This window comes from Homo sapiens, chromosome 14 (assembly GCF_000001405.40).
Source record: "Homo sapiens chromosome 14, GRCh38.p14 Primary Assembly".
Lineage (NCBI taxonomy): Eukaryota > Metazoa > Chordata > Mammalia > Primates > Hominidae > Homo > Homo sapiens.
The window spans coordinates 89,657,801-89,683,756 of NC_000014.9; the positions used below are offsets into that span (position 1 = coordinate 89,657,801).

At 42.7% G+C, this 25,956-nt stretch overlaps 2 annotated features.

Annotated features, from left to right (window-relative positions):
- Positions 1,410-1,519: an enhancer, noted in NCBI's record as "active region_8870". NCBI's record gives its function as "activates an Ori minimal core promoter by ATAC-STARR-seq in GM12878 lymphoblastoid cells {active_cell/tissue: GM12878}" and the evidence as "EXISTENCE:reporter gene assay evidence [ECO:0000049][PMID:35858748]".
- Positions 8,300-8,497: a silencer, noted in NCBI's record as "fragment chr14:90132444-90132641 (GRCh37/hg19 assembly coordinates)". NCBI's record gives its function as "represses an EF-1alpha promoter that drives an FKBP-Casp9 reporter gene in an ReSE screen in HepG2 liver carcinoma cells and K562 erythroleukemia cells {active_cell/tissue: HepG2 | K562}" and the evidence as "EXISTENCE:reporter gene assay evidence [ECO:0000049][PMID:32094911]".

Below are 25,956 nucleotides of genomic sequence, written 5' to 3' on the forward strand. Positions count from 1 at the left end.
TTAAACCCGGGAGGCAGAGATTGCAGTGAGCCAAGATCACGCCACTGTACTCCAGCCTGGGCGACAGAGCAAGACTTTGTCTCAAAAAAAAAAAAAAAAAAAAAAAAAGAACTGTGCTGTCCAGTAGGTTAGCCACTAGGCGCTATGGCTACCCAAGCTTAAATTAGCTAAAATTATTATTATTATTATTTTTGAGACGGAGTCTCACTCTGTTGCCCAGGCTGGAGTGTAGTGGCATCATCTCAGCTCACTGCAACCTCCGCCTACCAGGTTCAAGTGATTCTCCTGGCTCAGCCTCCTGCGTAGCTGGGATTATAGGCACCCACCACCACGCCTGGCTAATTTTTGTATTTTTAGTAGAGATAGGGTTTCACCATATTGGCCAGGCTGGTCTTGAACTCCTGACCTCAGGTGATCCACCCGCCTTGGCCTCCCAAAGTGCTGGGATTACAAGTGTGAGCCACCGTGCCCGGCAATTAAAATTAAATAAGATAAAAAATTCAGTTCCTCACTTACACTAGACTCATTTCAAATGCTCAGTAGCCCCATGTGGCTAGTGGCCACTATATTGGCAAAGCAAATATAGAACATTTTCAGTATCACAGAAAGTTTTATTGGAGAGGGCATTCGTTTCTTATTGCTGCAGCATGAATTACTACAAAGTTAGCAGCTTAAAGCAACATAAATGTATTATCTCGTAGTTTCCATAGGTCAGGAATCTGGGTACGGATTAGCGAGGCCCTCTACTCAGGGTCTCACCAGGCTGAAATCAAGGTGTGAACTGGGATCTCCTCTGAGGCTCGGGGTCATCTTCCAAGCTCAGTAGTTGTTGGCAGAATTCATTTCCTTGCATCTTTGTGACCAAGGGACAGCTTAATGCTCCCAGAGACCATGCTCAGGTCCTTACCATGTGACCTCCTCTTCTCACAACATCAAAGCTTGCTTCTTTCTTCCAGAGGCCAGCAGCATATATTCTCTGACCTTCAGTTTCTTTTAAAGGGCTTGCCTGATTCGATCAGGCCCACCCAGGATAGAGCTCCTTTTTGATTAACTCCAAGTCAACTGATGAGTAGCCTAGTCAAGGGAGTGACATCTCACCACATTCTCTGATCCTGCTACACTCAAGGGGAGGGGGTATATCCACCAGTGGGGCAGGGAATCTTGGGGGCCATCTAACATTCTGCCTACCGTAGGCATCAGTGATCTAGAAAGTAGAGAAAGGTTAACTAAATGAATCAACGGGGAAGGCAAGTAGTGGGAGAATTTAGAATGATTAGTACAGGCTTAGAGTACAGGGGTAATTGCCATTCAAATAATCTCTACATGACCGAGGTCTGTCCAACAGCATTCTTGTAATTGAAGGCTAGCTTCAGCTAGGCTCAAGGTTTATCTACAGTAGTTTCACTCTTAAAGCAGCTGTAACCCGTACCCTGCATGCTGCCACGGGGAACATAAATAGGTCCCCTAAAAGCAAGCACAAATAGAAATTGCCTTCAGGGCTGACATGCCTACATTCTATTTCCTTGCTGTTACTAACCTCCTGGAGTTTCTGACCTTATACTAGTCTTGATCTCCAAAACCCAATTGCTGCTTCTCAGATTAACTGATTTACTGGCTTGACACACCACCGTGGCTTTGGCCTGAACTCCCTGGCTTCCAGACCCTTGGCCCTCCTGACTGCAAACAACTGTGGAGCTTCCACCCTTGGCCAGATACTCCTGGGCACAATCCTCATGACTCTCAATCCCTGTTTGGCTGCCCCTGTGACTTGGGGTTCAGGGAAGGAGAGAGTCTGAAGCACCGATTTTCAGGGGGAGGTGAGCTGGTAAAAAAAAAATCATTTATACCATTAGACTTAGTTTTCCTGAATGTAAACTTCAACCCCTGATTATAAGGACTCTGTAAGGCTAATTATTAATTTTAAAGAAGTGCTAATTAGAAATCATGCAATGAATATATTTATCATTTTGATAAAGTTATATCTACATAATTTAAAATTTTACAAAGAAACTCTTCATTAAGTGTTGCATGACATTATTTTAAGAAATTCTATTTCAAAGCTCTACCTGATTCTGAAATGGCCTCTATAGTAACACTTTCTTTTTTTTAAAAAAAATGGTTCTTTCTCACAAGCGAAGAATAAGTGTTTGCATTCTAACTATAATCAGTATTTCAACCGAGTGGAGATATTTTAGTGCCTTCGGTGGGCATTTATCTTCTTGCTATCAGCACAATAGAACAAAAATGTACCCATATTAGCATTAATAATAAAACCAAGTCCATTATGCAGACTTTCTTGTCAGTTAAATTTGTTGCAGGCACAATTTTGGATTCAATTTCATCCATTTGGAAGTACTTTTGCTGTCAAGCAAATTTTTGTTTTATCATTTTAATTTTGGAGGTTTTTTTGCTCTCCTGTGTCTGAATCACCTTTTTAGAGGTTGGAAAATGGTTCTTCCCCACTGATATAGGAAGGAATTGATTTGGCAAACTTAGATATTTTCCCTGCGATGTGAATAGAGTTAATTTTAACAGAGCTGTTTCATTTTAACAGCCTCAACTTGCACAGTGTGTGTCATGCCAAACAGCTTTGTGTATCATCATCGACTGATGTCAGCACAGTTCTAGAAATAGTATTTGATAGTTAACAGCTGCCACAGAGCCAGAAGGGGAACACGAGACATTGTGTTTCAGGAGGGTTCACAAAAACTCGTGGCTATTGTTTTTATTTATTTATTTAATTTCTTGACAACGAAAGAAGAGCTTAAAATACCAAGTGTAGGCTTTTAAAAAAAGACTAATATTCCTCAGTAGGTCAAGTGACTCCTAGAACCTTGATATCATAGGCAATATAAATATTGTGTTCTGAACTACATATTTCCCTAATTTAATACAGCTTTTACTCATTTTACAATCATGTATTTGGTCAACAGGTATAGAGCAAAGGTTTGCCTTTAGACCAAATAGATGGTGAAACCATGTCTTTTTTTTGTTTGTTTTTTTGAGACGAAGTCTCTCTCTCTCACCCAGGCTGGAGTGCAGTGGCGTGATCTCGTCTCACTGCAACCTCTGCCCCCCGGGTGCAATTCTTGCACCTCAGCCTCCCTAGTAGCTGGGATTACAGACATGCACCACCATCCCTGGCTAATTTTTGTATTTTTAGTAGAGATAGGGTTTTGCCATGTTGGCCAGGCTGATCTTGAACTCCTGACCTCAAGTGATCCTCCTGCCTTGGCCTCCCAAAGTGGTGGAGTTATAGGCATGAGCCACCATCCCTGGCCATTTTGTTTTTTGTTTGTTTGTTTGTTTGAGACGAGTCTCACTCTGCGGCCCATGCTAGAGTGCAGTGGCACAATCACAGCTCATTGCAGCCTCAACCTCTCTGGCTCAAGGGATCCTCCCATCTCAGCCTCCTGAGCAGCTGAGACCACAGGCCGGCACCACCATGCCTGGCTAATTATTTTTATTTTTTAGTAGAGATGAGGTCTCACTATGTTGTCCAGGCTGGCCTTGCACCCAAGAGATCCCACCACCTTGGCCTCCCAAAGTGCTGGGATTATAGGCATGAGCCATCACACCCAGCAAAAACTTTTCTTTAAAAAGCCAGATAGTAAATATTGCAGGCTTTGTGGGCCATTTACAATCTCCATTGCAATTATTCAGTTCTGCTGTGGCAGGACTAAAATAGCCATAGACAATATGTACATACATGGGTGTGGCTGTGTTCCAATAAAACTTTATTTACAAAACAGGTGGTGGGCCAGATTTGGCCATGGGCCATACTTTCCCCACTGTTGCTTTGGATCATAAGTGGCAGATGCCACATATTTCCATGCAGCATGTCATAAAGGTGAAAGGTACTGACACACTCTTATAAGCTTGTGAATCAACTTCCACGTGTGCTCCCTGCGGAAACGCAGGCAGCCCTTTAATGGCCACAGAGGGGCACTTAATTATATACATATATGTGCTCTACAACCACGCTAATAATGGTATGAGAGTAACTGAGCAACGGATAAGCTTTTATGAACTGAGAGGATAAAGATCATGATCTCTGGTGTACAATGAACCTGATTTTTCTTCCCTTTCTTATTTTATTTAAGTTAATATCACCCTTAAAGTTTGAATTATCCTGCAAGAATGCAGGTTCATTAACTCCCGTTCAGCTTGTGCATCATCTTAATGGGACATATTTTGTAATGATGTGAATCACAAAACAGTCCTGGGCTCCAGAGGACCTAAATGTTTCATTGAAGTCATTACGAGCATTGCATACTAGGAGGGAAAGAGATTTTATTATTTAAAGATAACTTGCACAGAGAAAAAAAAAATTCTAGGAAGAAAATTTGAAGCATAGCCTGAAAAATAAAAAAAAATTTAAAAATCAAAGAACATGCTGGTTCTAAAATGCGACTGAGACAGCCTTTCTCTGGCCACTCCATGCCCACTCTCAACCACGAATTTATTACCATGAAAAGTACCAATCTGATGGTGTACAAAGGTAGGGGGGAAAATGTAAGAACAATGCCTTACATTTTCTACATTTTTTGCGTTCATGTATCACACTTGATACATTTTTCTTTGAGATGCCATTTTAACCCCTGGCATCTCAAAGGCAAAGTGATGGTCTCACACCCGGGAATGCTTGCTTAGGTAGGATCCCACCAACTGGCAACTTCCTAAAAGGTGATCACTTTTTCCAAACATGCCTCTTGCTCTATGCTACATTCTCTTTTAACGGTCTTTTTTTTTTTTTAATTTTTTGTTTGTTTTACAACAATTATTTTTTTGACGTTTTTCCTTCTCTTAATGTTACCGTTGGGGCTCAGAAACCCAATACCCTAAAATATGGTGGTCTGACATACTGAACTGAAGAAGCTTCAAGGTCTCTCTGACCTTCTCCACCCCATTGTCTCTCTCAAAAGCTTTATCTGCCTAAGATCCAGACCCACCAGAAGGAACCATTGTTCCTTCTTCTCCTCCCTCTAAGACCAAGAAGGTAACCATACTGGAACAGACCCTTTCACAAGAAAATGAACAAATTAATCTCTGTTCCCTGATCCGTTCATTCTTCCTAGTAATCCCGTCAACAGAGTTCCTCTTCGCTCCCTTCCCATAATGTCCAGCCAGGATGGCATATAAGCTTCCAAACCCCATTGGATGGTCACTGCGTGGCTCTGTGTGTGTGTGTGTGTGTTAAATAAATTGTCTGCCTTTTGTCCCATTAAACTGCCTTTTGTGAGTTGATTTTTCAAGCAAACCTTCAGAGGGCGAAGAGGAAGCTCTCCTTTGACCCTACATTGCTGTAATCTCTTGATTGTCTTGTCTGTCCTTGTTTCTCCTATTTGTTACTTTCTGGAGATGGAAAAGTCAGCCATTTGTCTAATGGAGTTCAGAATGATTTTCATACCACAGCCTCTCTTTTTAGATTGGTCTGTTACTGCCTTCAGTAACTACACCACATAACACCATAGTGTTGCATCATGCTAAATGTTATAATGCCATCTTTTTCTTTAAGGGGTTATTCTCATAGCAATTTAAGTTGAATAAGTAAATCATTGTACTCTTAAGTTATTCCTATCGGTGTGCATAATTTATAAAAACTAGGCCTGCTATTGTGTTATTCATTTTCCTAATTGGGTTAGGTCCATCTTTGGCTCTCAGTTATCTGGTTTACCCTCACACCATCATGAATAAACATCACTGGTCTCAATATTGATTGCTAGAATATCTCAGCCCTAACTTCATCATCACACTCTTTAAATGGCATGGAAGTGTTTTTACGGGCACTCTTTTCTCTCCCAAACCCCCCATTTCATCCTCTGGAATCCCTATAAAATGCTAAGTAAATTTCCTAACATATTCCAGCCTTTACCAAATGTTTCCCCTGCTTCCTGATTATAACCGAAGCCTGCTCTCCCTTGAGGACGTGCAGGGAGCTGGAGCTGGGATGAGGGCAAGATGAGCTCCATATTCTCTTATCTTCTCATTGCGCGGCTGCCAAACCATCTTTTTATTTATTTATTTATTTATTTTTCTGATATGGAGTCTTGCTCTGTCACCCAGGCTGGAGTGCAGTGGCATGATCTCGGCTCACTGCCACCTCTGCCTCCTGGGTTCAAGTGATTCTTCTGCCTCAGCCTCCCAAGGAGCTGGGATTACAGTTGCCTGCCACGGTGCCCAGCTAATTTTTTTGTATTTTTAGAGGAGACAGAGTTTCACTATGTTGGTCAGGATGGTCTTGAACTCCTGACCTCATGATCCACCCGCCTCGGCCTCCCAAAGTGCTGGGATTACAGGTGTGAGCCACCACACCCGGCCAAACCATCATTTTTTACCTTCACGTGAACGTCTCTTTCTCTTCAGCCTCACATCATCCAACTACGCAGCATCTTACAGGTCCTCATGGTGTCATCTGCTGGGACAGAGGCTAACATGGTAGAAGGACTTCATAAATAGCCAAGGAATCATGCCTGTAATCCCAGCACTTTGGGAGGCCAAGGCAGGCAGATCATGAGGTCAGGAGTTCGAGACCAGCCTGGCCAACATGGTGAAACTCTGTCTCTACTAAAAATACAAAAATTAGCCAGGCGTGGTAGCACACGCCTGTAATCCCAACTACTCTGGAGGCTGAGGCAGGAGAATTGCTTGAACCCAGGAGGCAGAGGTTGCAGTGAGCCGGGATCGTGCCACTGCACTCCAGCCTGGGTAACAAGAGTGAAACTCCATCTCAAAAATAAATCAATAAAATAAAATAAAATAGTCAAGGAATTAATGAAATAATGCATATAATTACTGCTCATTTTCTGTATTTATCAAAAATGGCTGAGCCTTCCCCTCTCTGACAGGTCCCTGAGTCATTTCCAGGGTCTTTGAACTTGTTTAAATCCTTGCCTCACTCTTTTTTTCACACCTATATTCCAGTGGCTGTTGCCTCCTCAATTCATGAGTGTACCAAGTTCCACGTCATCTATAGCACTATACTCACTCAAAAATCTTAAAATTCTTGAAGTTCATTCCCAATCAGTCTCTGACTGTCTTTACTGTTCTGCCTATTAAACTATCTATTTCAGTGTTTCTCTGAATTTTGATATCCACAAACAACTTTATGGCTATTTAGAACATGTGGATTTTCCATTGTAGATAAATTGGCTTTTAAAAGATTATTGAAACCGCATGAGTTCCTTTGTTCTGTTGAGGCAGAAATTGGCAGGCAGGGGATTTATTTGGGGAGTGCATTTGAGATTAACATCTGTAGGAGGAAGGGAAAGAAGGAAGGTTGGGAAGAGGGAGAATTAAGCTGCAGTGTAGTCACTGCAAGGCCTCAGTCCCACAGGCAGCTCCTTCAGTATTGGTCTGAACTGGGGCACTGGGATTGAGCCTCCATACAATGGCAACTGGTCATTGGTTGCAGGCTATCCTGGAAAGGGGGTATGTCCTTGGACAAGAAAGCTTTCTTCAGCCTAGGCTATTCCCAAAGAGGATTGACAGCTGAGAGCTGTCAGCCTACAACCTTCCCAGCACATGGGGCAAAGATCTCTTAAAGCCGGGGATCTGGGCAATGTAGTCCAACATCGACAACGGACACTCACTCAGGCTCAGGAGGCACATTGTTCATCATCTGATGTGCTCTGTGGATACAGCAGGGCTGGGTCAGCCTTTAGACTTTCATCTGACTAGCCCAGCCTTTTCCTTGTTATGATTATAGGTAGTGATCCATTAATACTGAGTGCAAATATTTGCCAGTCTACATCAGGGCTCATGGAGTGCCTTATCTGCCCAAATATAAGACAATTATGTACATAAGACAGTAGCTCCATGAAAAAATACAAAACAAAAGCCTTTTGGACAATTTGAATATATATGCATATGATATGGTTTGGCTCTGTGTCCCCGCCCAAATCTCATCTTGTAAGTCCCATAATTCCCACGTGTTGTGGGAGGGGCCCAGTGGAGATAATTGAATCATGGGGGCAGGTCTTTCCCATGCTGTTCTCCTGATAGTGAATGAGTCTCATGAGATCTGATGGTTTTAAAAACAGGAGTTTCCCTGCACAAACTCTCTCTTTGCCTGCTGCCATCCATGTAGGATGTGACTTGCTCCTCCTTGCCTTCCACCATGATCGTGAGGCCTCCTCAGCCATGTGGAACTGTAAGTCCATTAAACCTCTTTCTTTTGTAAATTGCTCAGTCTCAGGTATGTCTTTATCAGCAGCGTGAAAATTGACTAATACAGCATATATGTATAAGTGTGTGTGTGTGTGTGTGTGTGTGTATTTAGAAATGGGGTCTCACTCTACTGCCCAGGCTAGAGTGCAGTGGTGTGATCATGGCTCACGGCAGCCTCAACCTCCTGGACTCAAGTGATCTTCCCACCTCAGCCTCCTGAGTAGGGGGGACCACAGGTACACACTACCACATCTGGCTAATTTTTTTTTTTTTTTTTGGTAGACACAGGGTCTAGATATGTTGCCCAAGATTGTCTTGAACTCCTGGGCTCAAGCAGTCCTCCTGCCTCTGGCTCCCAACGTGCTGAGATTACACACATGAGCTACCATGTCTGGTCAATATATATATATGAGAATGTAGATGAAAGAGCCATATGTCTACTTATAATATTTACTTAGTCATGTAATGTTATGATATTTAAAACCTCATGTTGTAAACTCAGATTTCATGCAACAATTTTATTGTTTTCATATGCTTTATCATATGTCATTATTAAAGTCACTTTATAAGCTTTCTTTTTTTTTTTTTTTTTGAGACACAGTCTTACTCTGTCACCCAGGCTGGAGTGCAGTGGCACAACCTCGGCTCACTGCAACCTCCACTTCCCGGGTTCAAGCAATTCTAATGCCTCAGCCTCCCAAGTAACTGGGATTACAGGCACACACCACCACGCCCAGGTAATTTTTGTGTTTTTAGTAAAGCCTGTTGGCCAGGCTGGTCTCAAACTCCCAATCTCAAGTGATCCGCCCACCTCAGCCTCCCAAAGTGCTGGGATTACAGGCATGAGTTACCGTGCCTGGCCTCACTTTATAAGTTTTCTAGAGTTTTTCAGAACACATCATCTTTATTTCCATCTAAGTTGCCTAAGATATAGTACCTTTGGAATCTTTGTATAATAATGACCCCTGATTCTCAGTCAACAAGAAAAAATAAAAAGAATACTGACCTTGAAAACTGTATCCCAAGCTACTTGTGAACGCCACATTATAATCACTTGTTTTATTGCACCTTAAAGTGTTTTTAGAAGACTTGTTCTCAACAATTTCCAACACTTGTAATTGAGAGGTCATTTTCCCATTAATAATTACTATATCTCTGTTAAAATTTCTTTTCTTTTCTTTTATAGAGACGGGGTCTTGCTATGTTAGCCAGGTTGTTCTTGAATTCCTGGCCTCAAGCAATCCTTTGGCGTCAGCCTCCCAATAAGCTAGGATTACAGGTGTGAGCCACTGCACCTTGCCTAAAATTCTTTGTTTTTCTTTTAACTGATGCCATAGCTTATTATTGTAAGAATATAAATGTCTTCTCCCAGGGGAATTTATTGTTCAAAATAAAGTAACTAAGAGGGCTTCATGTAATATGAATGACTTTGTAAAGATTTTAACTGAAGTCAACTTTTCTGAAAGACTATTTTGGGGTGGGGGTTTGGGGAGAGACTGCATTATATTTGGGTATATGCAGCAACCACAATGAAAAAGTTTTCCTCTATATAATGATTTCCAAAGAGAAACAGGGTAAGAACTGACTCAATTTCCTAATTTCCACTCTTCGGTTTATCTGCATTATATCTTCTCTCTAGCATCAGATAAAAATTACTAACGGTAGGAAAAAGAAAATGCAGAAACATCTTGAAAGTTGCACACGATGTGGCTGGGCAGTGGCTCATGCCTGTAATCTCACACTTTGGGAGGCCGAGGTGGGAGGATTGCTTGAGTCTAGGAGCTCAAGACGAGTCTGGGCAACATAACGAAACCCTGTCTCTACAAAAAATACAAAACTAGCTGGGTGTGGTGGCACACACCTGTGGTCCCAGCTACTTGGGAGGCTGAGGCAGGAGGATCGCTTGAGCCCAGGAGGCAGAGGTTGCAGAGTAACTGGGAAGCTGGTAAAATCAAATTAAGCAAATGACAAATTGCTCAGGAACACAACAAAGAATGCACTAGTGGCAAAAATCCTTTATCAAAGATATCAGTGGATATGGTGTGATATCAGCCGCCCTCAGCATGGGAGAGTCCTGGTGACTCTGGTTGGGTTTAAGCCCATCACTCCTCCTGGCCCCGAATCCCTTCCACAGCTACACATCCGCAGCATTCCTCTTGTAGCAGTCTGTGTGCCGCCGACCCCCACCCCGATGCTGAAGCCAACAGACATTTATCATCCCTCCTGCACTTGACCTCTCCTGCCTTTCCTCTAGAAACACGCTCCTCCCTTGGAATGACTAACCCAACTTCTGCACAGCTTTCCTTTTCTCTCTCTGAACTCCCCCTTTTTAATCTTTAAGGAAATCTCTGCTCATGAATTATAGGTAAATGTTCTTGTTCTCTAGAGTTTCACTGTCTGCCCTCTGCTTAAACTACATCCTCTGCCTAAGCAAACTGACTTATCCCTGTTGCTTTATTTGTTACCTATAAGCCAAAAACTTCCAGTCAGACTGTTTGGGTTGAAATCCCAAATTAGCCACATTCTAGCTGTGGAGTCTTGGAAAAGAGTATAATAAAAGGACTGATCTCACAAGGCTGGCTATTTAATGATTAAATGAAATCATACATGTAACATGCTTAGTACAGTTTCTGGCACATGGTGTAACACATTGAAATGTTAGCTGCTTTTCTTAGCATCTCTATTTCCAGCCTGTATCTGAATTTGGAATTACCTTGTATAGATTCATTTAGATTTCCTATAAACACTGCAAACTCCACAGGCCCAAATTTAAACTTGCCATCCTACCCTATTCATTCCACTACCCCATACACACACATCACACATACACACACACACACACACACACACCCCTAGAGAAAGAGATTTATTTTAAGGAATTGGCTATGTGATTGTGAAGGTTTGGTAAGTCCAAAATCTGCAGGGTAGGCGGACAGGCTGGAGACCCAGGGGAGCGTTACAGTTCAAATCCAGGGGCTGTCTACTGGCAGGATCCCTTCTTGCTGCGGGCAAGTGAGTCTTCATTCTATTAAGGCTTCCAACTGATTGGATGAGGCCCATCCACATTATGGAAGGTCATCTGCATTATTCAAAACTCACTGACTTGAATGCTAATCTCATCTTAAAAAAAAATACCTTTAAAAAACACCCAGAATAATCTTTGACCAAATATCTGAGCACCGTGGCCCAGACAGGTTGACGCATGAAATTCACCATAACGTTGTCTTTGGGCAGAAGCTGAGATGAGGATTCAGGGGCAAGTGGTTGATATGGAACTGCAGGAGGCCAAGGTGGGGGTGTGGGAGGTGGTGCAGGAAGGGAAGGAAGCCATGAGGGGAACTTCACCAAGCAGTTACCACTGAGGACAGCTGGGGAACACGAGGGGCCCAGTGGAAAACCCACATCCGCACGGGGCCGCCAGTCATTCCAGCCTGCCTCCTGAGCAAGAGTGGGCTCTTGTGGCCAAAGAAAGCCCTCGGGCAAGGGAGTACACAGGCCGGAAGAAGAATGTGGTCGAACACCAAGAGCGCCAAGTGCACCGAGTAACCTCTTCACAGAGAGGAAGCTCAATGTCTTCTGGTGTCAAGGCCTCTCCCAAGATCCTACACGCTGACGGTCAGTAGGATCCTTGGGGGTGGAAGGCTCCTTTTCAATATGTAATTCGTTAAATAAGTTATGTGGGAACAAAAGATGACAGCAATAGTTCAACCAACTCTTATCAGTGGTGTGAAATATTGTCATATATGGAAGAGGGATGTGAACCTTCAGGAACATTCTGGGGCCTTCCAGGAACCACACAGGATTCCAGTCAATAACCAGACACAACTGCAGGGTTAAGTGTTCTTTGGAGTGCGGCAATCAGGCCTATAGAACCTCAACTTGACCTGCAGTAAGAAGCAATCAGAAAGCTCAGACAGGCCAGGCGCGGTGGCTCACGCCTGTAATCCCAGCACTTTGGAAGTCCGAGGCAGGTGGATCACTTGAGGTCAGGAGTTTGAGACCAGCCTGGCCAACATGGTGAAACTCTGTCTCTACTAAAAATACAAAAATTAGCTGGGTGTGGTGGCATGTACCCATTGCACTCCAGACTGGGCATCGCAGCGAGACTCCATCTCAAAAAAAAAAAAGAAAGAAAAAGAAGAAGAAAGCTCAGATAGGCTCCTTAAAAAGTTAAACACAGAATTATCATGTGAAGAGCTGGACATGGTGGTGTGCACCAGTAGTCCAGCTACTCAGGAGGCTGAGGCCAGAGGGTTGCTTGAGCCCAGAAGTTCGAGGCTACAGTGAGCTATGATTGCACCACTGGGCTCCAGCCTGACACAGCAAGACCCTGTCTCTAAAAATAAAAAATAATAATAAAAAAATTAAGTTGAAATTTAAAAGAATTATCATATGACCCAGGAGTTGTACTCCTAGTTATATACCCAAAATAATTTAAAAGAGGGACTCAAACAGATACTTTTCACCAATGTTTAAATGTTCATTGCACCATTATTCACAGCAGCCAAAAGATGGAACAATCCAAGTGTCCATTGACAGATGAAGGTATAAACCAAATGTGATATATCCACACAACGGAATAATATTCAGCCATAAAAAGGAGTAAAGTGGCTGAGCTGGTGGCTCACGCCTGTAATCCCAGCACTTTGGGAGGCCGAGGTGGGCGGATCACCTGAGGTCGAGACCAGCCTGACCAACATGGAGAAACCCCGTCTTTGCTAAAAATACAAAATTAACTGGACGTGGTGGCGCATGCCTGTAATACCAGCTACTCAGGAGGCTGAGGCAGGAGAATCACTTGAACCCGGAAGGCGGAGGTTGTGGTGAGCCGAGATTGCACCATTGCACTCCAGCCAGGGCAACAAGAGCCAAACTCCGTCTCAAAAAAAAAAAAAACAAAAGAGTCAAGTACTGACATCTGTTACCATATGGGTGAACGAACCTCCAAAACTTGATGCTAAGTGAAAGAAGCCAGGCACAAAAGGCCACATATTGTATGATTCAACTTATATGAAATATCCAGAATAGGTAAATCTATATATAGAGAAAGTAGATTAGTGGTTGTCAGGGGCTCAGTGGAGAAGGAAATGTAGGTAGCTGCTTAATGGGTACAGGGATTTCTTTTGGGTGATGTAAATGTTTTGGAACTAGATAGAGGTAGTGGTTGCCCAGCATTGCGAATGTACTAAATGCCACTATGTCTCTAGTTCCTAAAGTTGATGTAAATTAGTTGCTTGCATTTCTACCAAAATACCACATATTAATAAAATGTACAGTTAGTAATTGCATCAATATTGCTAATGCATGTACAATAAAAAGTATATACTAAACCTGTTTATCTTATTTTTATGTATAAACATATACGTAAATTGATTGTGTCTACATGTAAATGAACAACACAGTATGAATGTTTCCTGAAAGTTTGTTGTGGGCAAGAATTTTCTGTTTCTAATAAAAAGACTCGACTGGGCGTGGTGGCTCACACCTATCATTAATCATTCACTTAAAAATGATTTTTTTTTTTTTGAGATGGAGTCTTGCTCTGTTGCCCAGTCTGGACTGCAGTGGCGCTATCTCAGCTCACTGCAAGCTCCGCCTCCCAGGTTCATGCCATTCTCCTGCCTCAGCCTCCTGAGTAGCTGGGACTACAGGTGCCCACCACCACGCCCGGCTAACTTTTTGCATTTTTAGTAGAGACAGCGTTTCACCGTGTTAGCTAGGATGGCCTCGATCTCCTGACCTCATGATCCGCCCGCCTCGGCCTCCCAAAGTGCTGGGATTACAGGCGTGAGCCACCGCGCCCGGCCAAAAATGATTAATTTTATGTAATGTGAATGGTTACCATAATAATAATGATAATTAATAATTTTTTAAAGCAAAAAAAAAAAAGAGCTCAGGGATAGAGACATGAGCAACAAGAAGTCAAGGCAGCTCACAGCATCAACCCAGGGGCAGAAAGTAGGATCTTAACGTGAATCCCATGTACCCTCCAGTCTATGTCTTCTGGAGATGACTCTAAAACAAACAGGCAAACAAAAAAAACCCCTCTCAAAACTTCTTCATTTTTTTCTTTTTTTTTTTTTCTTGGTAAAGATGGGATCTTGCTATGTTGCTCAGGCTGGTCTCGAACTTCTGGGCTCAAGTGATCCTCCCACCTTCGCCTCCCAAAGTGCTGGGATTACAGGTATGAGCCATCTCATCCTGGCTAACTTATTCACTTTTACATCAGTTTTTCTTTAAATGTTCCATTTTTTTTTTTTTCCGTGGTGGAGTTTTGCTCTTGTGGCCCAGCCTGGAATGCAATGGCACTATCTTGGCTCACTGCAACCTCTGTCTCCTGGGTTCAGGCGATTCTCCTGTCTTAGCCTCCCGAGTAGCTGGGATTACAGGCATGCATCACCACATCCAGCTAATTTTTGCATTTTTTAGTAGAGATGGGGTTTCACCATGTTGGTCAGGCTAGTCTCGAAGTCCTGACCTCAGGTGATCCACCTGCCCCAGCCTCCCAAAGTGCTGGGATTACAGGCGTGAGCCACTGCGCCTGTCCTAAATGTTCTTTTTTAACAAGTAAAGCATGCTCACTGATAAAAAGTCTCGATACAGAGTTGATACAATGGTATCAACAGTTCATCAATAGTAAAATCAGAGTTTCACCCCTCCTGCCCCATGTCCCACTGCCAGTCCTTGCATTAGGGAAACTATGAATGATTTGGAGAGTAGGATCTGCCATCTGATTTCCATTTCAACTTCCATTTCTCAGGCGTCCTGCCCAGGAGTTTTACTCTCTTTCTCACAGCTTATCTCCCCCAGGCTCCCTCTGCCTGACCTCCCTGGCCCTCTGCCAGATCCTCCTAGACATTCTCCACTTCCCCAGAACACTTGCCTGTGCTATTTCCTCTCCACCCTACTCACCCCCACTCCGTCAGGCATATGGATCCTTTGAATCCACGGAGAAGTTTTCCTTGACAACACTTCACCCCCTGGCCACATCAGATCCCCTCTTACGCCCTGGGCATGTTTTTCTTCAGAGCTTAAACTGTTTGAACTTTGCATTTATGTGAGTGATTATTTGACTAAGGTCTGACACCCAGACCGTAATAAAAGTTCCGCAAAGTCAACAATCATGTGTTCCTTAGGTCGCTATATCCCCAGCACCCAACGCCACATTTGATCTAAAGGTGTGTCCTGTTGGTTGGACCTTCACAATAGATCCAGGATCTAACCATTTCTCATGACCTTCCCAGGGATCTCCCGAGCTGGCATCGGGACTATGACTATAACGCCCACATGCTCTCCGTGGTCTATGTGAGGGGGACAAGGACCCTGCGTGTCGTATGCTTCATTACGTACCCAGTGCTTTATCTTTGCCCAGCACATGGGCACATGATTAGTATTTGTTGAGCTGAATTAACCAGAATTGTTACTTTATTTTCTTAATCTCTATTTCAGCCATAGTTATAATACTCACTCACATCCATACATATTCTTACCACATATTTGAGCAAAGTCGAGGTCTAAGTAATAATTTATACGTATTCCAGCACAAAGATATTGCAGTATTTAGTAAATGACATTATCACTATGTAAAATAACCAATTCATCGTTTTTATCTTTACACTTTCACCTATATTCTTATCTACCATATACACCAAGGATAAGGTGCATACCTCTTTAGAACACCAGCTTCTTATCTGTAATAAAAGGGAGTTTGGAGCTGGGTGTGGTGGCATGCACCTGTAGTCCCAGCTACTCCGGAGGTTGAAGTGGTTGAAGTGGGAGAATTGCATGAGGCCCAGGAGTTCAGGGTCAGCCCAGGCAACATAGCAAGACTTGTCTCTTAAAAAAAAAAAAAAAAAGTGTGGGCAGGGGATGGTGTCTTTCAACTCTATTTCTGGGGCCCTATGTGTTAAGCTGCATAAGCACCCACTTCTTATTCATCTTTGCATCCCCAGAACCAGCCCAGGTCTTGTGTGCAGCAGGAACTCAAGAGCACAGCCCTGCTGTGGGCTGTCTACATTCAAACCAGCCACGCACCGTGTTGGCTGTACAAACCTGGAAATTACCTTAATCCCTCAAAGCCTCGGTTTCCTCCTCCGAAAAGTGGAGATTGTAAGATAATGCTTGCAAAGAGCTGAGCACAAGGTCTGACTCACAGTCAGCTCTCATGGAATGTGCATGAATGTATGAGCCAGTGAATCTAGGATTCTAGACAAATTGCCTAGATTAAATGGCAAAGTGTGCATTATTTCTTTGGTATCATGTTCTCTAAAATATTGAATGGTTAACATAACTGTTCCTACTCTCTAGTTTATAAAGTAGATGTAAATTAGTTCCTTGCATTTGTGCTAGAATACCAAATATTAATAAAATGTACACGTAGTAATTACATTGATATTGCTAATGCATGTACAATAAAGGGCATGTACTAAATCTGTTTATTTTATTTTTATGTATAAATATGTACATAAACTGATTATGTCTACATTTAAATGAACAACAGTATGACTATTTCCTGAAAGTTTGCTGTGGGCAAGAATTTTCTGTTTCTATTATAATAAAAAGACTTGGTCAAGTGTGGTGGCTCATACCTACAATCCCAGCACTTTGGGAGGCTGAGGCAGGAGGATCCCTTGAGCCCAAGAGTTCAAGACCAGTCTGGACAACATGGTGCAACCCTGTTTCTAGACAAATTAGAAAAATTAGCCAGGGACGGTGGTGCACACCTGTGGTCCCAGCTACTCGGGAGGCTAAGGTGGGAGAATGGCTTGAACCCAGAAGGTGGAGGCTGCAGTGAACTGTGATCACGCCCCTGCACTCCAGCCTGAGTGACAGAGCAAGACCCTGTCTCAAAAAAATAAAAATAGAAAATAAAAGAGACCCACTTGATTATCATATTGTTACCTAATTATGCCCTGAACAAAATTAAGTCTGAACTTTTATTGGGTTAAATCAGAGCTCGGGAGTTACATTATCTTGCAAACAAAGTTTCTGACTGTCTCATTAAATAAGAGAAGGTGTAACAACAAATTTAATTATCAAATGTGACTTTTTCTGCCAATTTTTTTCCCTCAACTGTTTATGCTGTTGGTTTAGCCCATCTGGTTTTTATTTGAGAATAGAAATCACAAATCCCACAAACCATCCACTGATTCCTAATCCTAGAAAAGACTGGTATTACTTTAGCAGCATAATATGTTTTTCTTTCCTCTGGTGGGAATAAATGTGCAGCTTTATAGTGGATTAAAAAAGACAATTGAGAAATTTCCTATTATAAACATGTATGGTATCTTAATTTCCTAGTATAATAGCAAGCCGACTAACATAATTAATTATATTTTAAATGCAAATTGTTGACAAGAGTTCATCTGGTTGAAATTATTTAAGCCACATCAACTCTAAAGAAAGTCCTGCTTTCTAACTCCTAATTCTTTTTTTAGAAAAATAATTCCATATTCTCTCCCATGCCCAGCAATCTCTTAAAAATTTCACATGATATTTAAAGCACCATTGCTGCAACCCCATAGAGACAACTAGGCAAATATAAGTGATTTATATGCAGATTTCAACCTATTTACCGAGCTTAATAGTAAGAGACAAAATATTATATGCAAAATGCGTTCATTTAAATTTTTGATCAGATCTTTCTGCTGCTTGATGGAGCGAGCAAGTTATATTGGTATAGGAGCAAATACATTTCAGAATAGAAGTCTCAAGCCAAGTTTATATGTAGTGAGAGACCTGGACAACGTATGGCTAGATAATCCATTAGTTTCACTCATCTTGACTGACAAGTAGCTCTGAAATGTGAATCAACCCTGAAATTTCCACAGGAAGTACTAAGTAGCTGAGATAATGACAGCTCTCAGACCAACAGTGCTGTGGGACCCACAGGGATCACCTTGCTCTATGTTTCTGAAAAGGCAGGATGCTAGCCACGTGTAGTATGCAAGATAATTTTAGGAAGCACACACATTGGTTACATTTACAGTTCTGTTTGTGTATCAACATGCATTAGAACAAACAACAAACATTGAAACTATGATTGAGGCTGGGTACAGTGGTTCATGCCCGTAATCGCAGCACTTTTGGTGGCCGAGGCAGATGGATCGCTTCGGCCCAGAAGTCTGAGCAACATGGCAAAACCTCGTATCTATCAAAAAAAAAAAAAAATTAACTGGGCATTGGTGGTCTGTACCTGTAGTTTTAGCCACTCAGGAGGGTGAGGTGGGAGGATTGCTTGATTCTGGGAGGTTGAGGCTGCAGTGAGCCATGATCAGGTCACTGCGCTCCAGCCTGGGCAACAGAGAGTCAACAACAACCACCACCACCACCACCTAGGATTTTATGGATGTTACCACTAGTTAAGTAAAAAGAGGTGAGTTGATTAAAGAAAAATATTGGCTGGGTGCGGTGGCTCACACCTGTAATCTCAGCACTTTGGGAGGCCGAGGCAGGTGGATCACAAGGTCAGGAGATCAAGACCATCCTGGCTAACATGGTGAAACCCTGTCTCTACTAAAAATACAAAAAATTAGCTGGGCGTGGTGATGGGCGCCTGTAGTCCCAGCTACTCGGGAGGCTGAGGCAGGAGAATCGCTTGAACCCAGGAGGCAGAAGTTGCAGCGAGCCAAGATTGCGCCACTGCACTCCAGCCTGGGCAACAGAGCAAGATTCTGTTTCAAAAAAAAAAAAAAAAGAAAAGAAAAATATTAAGAAAATAATAGGGCAGGTAGCATATGCAAATGATGAAAATAGTGATGGTCGTATATAAGGATGATTAAAATTTGGATGACACTGACCCTAATTTTATAGGTGAGGAAAATGAAGCCCTGAGTAGTGTTTTTTGTTTTTGTTTTTGTTTTTGTTTTTGTTTTGAGATGGAGTTTAACTCTTGTTGCCCAGGCTGGGGTGCAATGGCACGATCTCAGCTCACTGTAACCTCTGCCTCCTGGGCTCAAGTGATTCTCCTGCCTCAGCCTCCCGAGTAGCTGGGATTACAGGCACCCACCACAATGCCTGGCTATTTTTTGTATTTTTAGCAGAGATGGGGTTTCACCATGTTGGCCAGACTGGTCTCCAGCTCCTGACCTCAGGTGATCCACCTGCCTTGGCCCTCCAAAGTGCTGGGATTACAGGCGTGAGCCACCATGCGTGGCAGGCCCTGGGTAGTTTTAAAGGTTTACCCAAAATCCTATGGCTTGTCAGAGGTAGAACAGACCCCATAACTGATTGTTCCACACTCTATGTATTGCATTTAGACTAGCTGAGCCTCACAAAGCATATGGGCTTTTTTCTAGACACATGGGTCAATGAGAAGTTCAGATAAATTCTCAAGCTATTTGTGTATTTGTTGTTGTTTCTTTTTAGGGAACAATGGTGGTATAGTTGTCACTTGGCCAGAATAAAAAGGTGCTAATGACAGCTGATCTCATGTTCAGCTGTGTTTAAACAGAGTAATATTGATTAGATCTGTATTGTTAATTACAGGTATAGACGTGAAATAGAAGAATGATAAGTTTATAATCATCTTTATATTTTGTTAACTTTTGCACCTTCTTAGTAAATGCATCTATGCTTAAAGTGACACTTTTATCCAATATACTGAGGCCTTTGGACATTTTTTTTTTTTCTTGAGATGGAGTTTCACTTTTGTTGCCCAGGCTGGAGTGCAATGGCGCAATCTCGACTCACTGCAACCTCTGCCTCCTGGGTTCAAGCAATTCTCCTGCCTCAGCCTCCTGAGTAGCTGGGATTACAGGCATGCAACATCTCGCCTGGCTAATTTTGTATTTTTAGTAGAGATGGGGTTTCTCCATGCTGGTCAGGCTGGTCTCCAACTCCTGACCTCAGGTGATCCGCCTGCCTCGGCCTCCCAGAGTGCTAGGATCAGAGGCGTGACCCACTGCGCTTGGCCGGACATTTTTGCCTTTTATGTGAAAGATATTCTATGATATATTCTATAGCAGGGGTGTCCAATCTTTTGGCTACCCTGGGTGATATGTTTTCGCTGTATCCCCACCCAAATCTCATCTTGAATAGTAGCTCCCATAATCCCCACATGTCATGGGAGGGACCAGATGGGAGGTAATTGAATCATGAGGGCGAGTTTTTCCCATGCTGTTCTCATGATAGTGAATAAGTCTCATGAAATCTGATGGTTTTACAAAGGGCAGTTCTTCTGCACAGGCTCTCTGGCCTGTCGCCATGTAAGACGTGACTTTGCTTCTCCTTTGCCTTCCACCATGATTGCGAGGCCTCCCCAGCCATGTGGAACTGTGAGTCCATTAAACCTCTTTTTCTTTATAAATTACCCAGTCTTTAGTATGTCTTTATTAGCAGCATGAGAATAGACTAATACGCTGAGCCACATTGGAAGAAGAAGAATTGTCTTAGGCCACGTATAAAATATACCAACACTAACGAGAGCTGATGAGCTCGAAAAAATTCACAAAAAATCTCATAAAGTTTTAAGAAAGTTTACAAATTTGTGTTGGGTCAATTCAAAGCCATCCTGGGCCACATATGGCGTGTGGGCAGTGGGTTGGACAAGCTTGTTCTACAGATTCCTGGAAATAGAAAACAAAAGTCCACATATACATATGCTCCAGTAATGTGGTGGAGCCATTTCCCACCAGATTGCAAGCTGCTCTTCCCACTGCCTTGTTCAGTGACTTCACCTTGGTAACTTGAAATCACTGGCTGTGGCAGGAGTATTTACACCACAGAAATAGGCAAATGATACAAATCAGGGCTTCTTCCTCCAGAGAGCTGATTACTAAACACTTTACCAGTGCACCACTTCTTTGAGCAGTTTTGAGGGTGGAGAGAAGGTAAGCCCTTTTTAAATGAGGTTTGGGAACTTTAAGGAATGATATACAAATTAACTTTGATACCAGTAGAAAGCTTCCCAAGGGAGTACAGAGAGGCATCCCAGAGCCTCTAGCGAACAGATAAGCTGCGGAATGCAGAAAGCATTTGGCTCTGTTTTCTTTGCTTACCAGGGACTTTAGTACAGATTGAGCCTTAAGGAAAAACAGTTCCAAATAGTTAGAAATGGGCTTTCTTGTTATTCTGCTGACTAGAAAGATACTGCCTAAGGCTCTTTGGAAAGTTAAGATGACAGGTGATGCCTTCTTCAGAAAGACAAATTTCTATGTAAAAATTCTCATGAATGGGATAGATATGTGCTGTCCAACAGGAATCAAAATGTTCTTTGTTCATGCCGCTAGACACATGCTGCTACGTAACCCTTGAAATGCAGGTAGTCTGAATTGAGATATGCTGTAAGGTAAAATACACACTGGATTTCCAAGACTTAAGAAAAAAAAAAGAATGTAAAATATCATATTAACATGTTCGTATTGATTACCTGTTGAAATGATCATCTTTTGTATATATTAATTATTAAATAATATACATTATGAAAATTAATTTCACTTGTTATCTCTACTTTTTTTTTTTTTTGAGATGGAGTCTTCCTCTGTTGCCCAGGCTGGAGTGCAGTGGCACAATCTCGGCTCACTGCAACTTCTGCCTCCCAGGTTCAAGCGATCCTCCTACTTCAGCCTCCTGAGTAGCTGGGATTACAGGTGGACGCCGCCACATCTGGCTAATTTTTTGTATTTTTAGTAGAGACGGGGTTTCACCATGTTGGCCAGGCTGGTCTCGAACTCCTGACCTCAAGTGACCCACTCATCTTGGCCTCCCAAAGTGCTGGGATTACAGGCATGAGCCACCTCGCCTGGCCTCTCTTCACTAGTTTTTAATGTGGCTCCTAGAAAATTTTAAATTACATGTGCACAGCTCTGGGCAACATAGGAAAACCCCATATCTACAAAAAAAAATACAAAAATTAGCCAGGCACGGTGGCATGCGCCTATAGTCCCAGCTACTTGGGAGGTTAGGTGGGAGGGTCACTTGAGCCCAGAAGGTTAAGGCTGCAGTGAGTTGAGACTGTGCCACTGCACTCCAGCCTGGGCAACAGAGTGACACCTCGTCTCAAAAGAAAAAAAAAAATTACATGTGTGGCACACACTATATTCTTATTAGGTATCACTGGGCTAGATCATGTCCAATAGAACTTTCTATCTATAGTGATCAAAATGTTCTATATTTATGCTGTCCATCCAGGTAGCCACTGGACACATGCTGGTATTTAACCCTCGAAATGTGGGTAGTCTGAACTGAGATGTGCCATAAGGTAACACACAGCTACTTCGGAGGTTGAGGTGGGAGGACTGTATTCTGAATCAGGTGCTGGAGAAGGCAGAAGAGTATAGGGAATCAAAAGAGATGGGCAAGCTACAAACGCAGCTCAATTTTGCACAGCTCATAAGACAAATTTCATAATGCAATCTCTTCATCTACACTGAGGGTTAGAATGCCAGGAAAATGCATAACAAATGCCCAACGTGTTGTATAGGCAGAGAGGACAACACACCCAAATATTTGAAACCATGAGCTGTAAATCTGAATCTCAAGCACAGTCTCTATTTCCCTCAAACCTTCTCCCTTGGGTAGATAGGATTATGACAGTGTTGAGAAGGTGCTCTGGAATTCTGTGAGAAACACGGGTCAAATTTTTAGTCCTGCTTCCAATATATATGTCCTCCTTCCAGCCCCAGCCAGAAAAAGAACAGTATTGTGCTTGAAAATTTATGTCAGATCACTACCCACCTTGAAATCCAGCACCTTTTTTCAGATGGAGAGCCATAAGGCATAGATTAAGGTATAAGCAGCCCCTGTAAATCAGAAGGATGGCTAAGCCTGGACAGGACTCAGATTTCATTATTTTAATTTCTGGTCTTCAGTTTCTCAAGGAGCTTTAAAAAAAGCAACACAATAATTCAAATACACTCAAGGTTGAAAATGTATTTTTTTTTTTTTTTTTTGCCCATTTCTCAGAGGTAGGCTTGGCTTCTGAAGCTGTCACCAAGGCATCTCATTGAGGGCAACTGCTGCAGCCAGTGGGAAAAAAAGGGTTTGTTTTCAACATTAAAAAAAAAAAAAAAAGTGAAGGGAGGAAGAAATTCATTTTTTCTTCCAAACCTCCAAGCCTTCACTTGGAGGATACCCACTTCATTGGCATCTTCTGGGTTAAGGAGACAAAGGTCATGTTCTGATGAGAAGACTCAGATCGAGCATAAGTTAAGGAAGTTTCCACCACCCACGTCACCTGCAAAACCACCACGTAGGAAGCACACTGTGAACCCCTGAGAGGGAGCGTGGCTGGTACATAAATCCTTGCTTTCTCTGCACGCTCCTTCTGGGACTTTTGCATTCACCGCAGAGAGTGGGAACTGTAAAAATAGACTATATGTTTCTGAAGAAGTGAAAGACTTATTGCATAATGGTGGTAAACTGTGTCTACTAGAACAGAATGACTGTGCATGCAAACATAAAACTCAAAAAATAGCTACCATTCCAGACAAATTTATTTTTTTTAAATATTCAGCCTAAGGAAAAATATGTGGCTCTATGAGTGGAGTAAAAGCTTTGCTCCCTGACATTGGGAAAGTGGAATGACATTAGGTAGTCCAAAAATCTGGCCAACATATGAGGCTAATTCACACTGACCTCTCCTCAGCTGTAAGTTTCAGGTTATTTCTCTCCTCTTTACTTCCTTTTCTCTTTGTAAGACCTACACAAAAATAGAAAGGAAATAATTTGGAAACAGAAAGTATCAATTTTTGCAGAAGCCCTGTAAGGCACAAATCTACCACTTCCTTCCTTCCTTTTCATCCCTAGGAACAAGAAGAATGAGAAAAACATTCAGACAGACACAGCTGTCAAGTAGAAGAAGAGGCGTCTCCTCAGCCCTGGCCTTTGCTCCCTGCCTTCCCCTTTTCCCACTCTCCCTCTTGCGTTTCTGTGGGGACTCTGGATCACTGCTGAACCTGTTCTCCCTTAATAACTTCTCAACTGTGGATTTGCCAATCCATACAACAAATATTTATTAAGCAACTAGAATGTGCAAGCCTGGGCTAGGTACTGGGGGATGGGAGACCACGGCAAGTGAGAAAGAGAGACACAATGATAAACAAGACATGAGAACTTTCTTAAAGGAATTTAAAATCTAGCAAACAGGCTGGGCGTGGTGGCTCACGCCTGTAATCCCAGCACTTTGGGAGGCCAAGGCGAGAGGATGGCTTGAGGCCAGCCAGGAGTTTGAGACCAGCCTGTACAACATAGTGAGACTCTGTCTTTAAATAAAGTTTTTAAAAATTAGCCAGGCGTGGTGGTGCACATCTGTAGTCCCAGCTACTTGGGAGGCTGGAGCAGGAAGATCACTTGAGTCCAGGAGTTTGAGGCTGCAGTGAGCTATGATCATGCCACTGCACTCCAGCCTGGGGAACAGAGACTCTGTCTCCAAAAATTAATAAATAATAAAATAAAATAAAATCTAGGGTTGATACACTGAGTGTATTAAGTGTTATGATAGTGTGTCATGAAACCTGAAAAATGTCCTTAGGAGAGGCCTTGTCTCAGAATGCCTGGAGGTCTCTGTGGGGTACGCCTGGTAGAAGTTGATGTGACTTTTGGGAAGCAGAAATTGTGAGGGAAATGAGACATATAAGATCATTGCCAATTCAGTGCTTCAGGTCAGAGTAGATGAGACAGATTGAGACTACCTGGCTTTTGGCCACATCCCTGAGTCTTAAGGGAAGAGGCCCAAATGGACAAAATCTTTCCATCAGTAGCCTGTCCATTGGGTATCCAGTACCCAAGGTCTCATGGTTCCCTTGCTGGTAGAATGGTTTCCTTCTCTCTTTGGGTTATTTTTGGAGTCCATATGGACATGGCACTAATATAGTGTTTTAAGCAGCTGGACAGTCCAACCAGAAGTCGGATCAAAGAAGACATACGAGGGGACAATGTATGTCTGCCATTGTGACCATCAACAGCATCTTGGTGGCCTCAGAAGTTAGAAGCTCCTTTGAAAGGCTTCTCTTCAGAAGATGTTGGCAATCTCATCCTCACAGCAATGGGGGCATCACAGGTCGCTGAACATGAGGGAGGAAAATGAGACACACTAAAGGTAGGGTTTATGTGGATCAATGAGCCTGAGGTGCTTCATGGAGCCTGTGTTCATTTATGCTCCCAAGGTTTATTGAGCATTACCTATGTGCTGGGCACTGGGCTAGATGCTGGACATACAATGACCAACCAGTCAGACACTAGCCGCTGCCCCAAATGTCTTTGGTCTGCTTGGGGCAAACAGAGGTTACTTATACTTGTATCAGTGATGACTTAATTGGTTAAGTCCTATAAAGGAAAAGTACAGGATCGAGAAAGCATAAAGGGGTGTTAAGGTAGTCTGAGGGGTTATAAAATGCTTCCCTGGGCAAAGGGAACTGGATGGAAATGTTCTCACAGTCGCAGGTATGGACAGGACTAGAGCATTTCTCTTTTTAGAGATGCTCTAAAAAGCATTAGAAATGCTCTAGTCCTGTCCTAGTCCTAGCTCTAGTCCTGTGATGGCTTTTGTGACTCTGTTATTACTCCACGTCTGCATGCCCTGGAAAACCTAGGTTACAAAATATATAAATAGAGAGCTGTGGGAACTCATGGGAAATTGACTTTCGAGACCTGGGAAGGCCCAGTGCCCAGCATATAGGTGAAGCCCAATAAACACTGGGATATACACGAACACAGGCTTCGTGAGGTGCCTCAGGTTTGTTTTGGGGCAAGGAAAATATTTGGTGGTTTTGTAATTGGGCTTTGAAATATGAGTAGGGATTCTGTATTTCTTTACTTACTTATTTATTTTATTTTATTTTTTTGGCA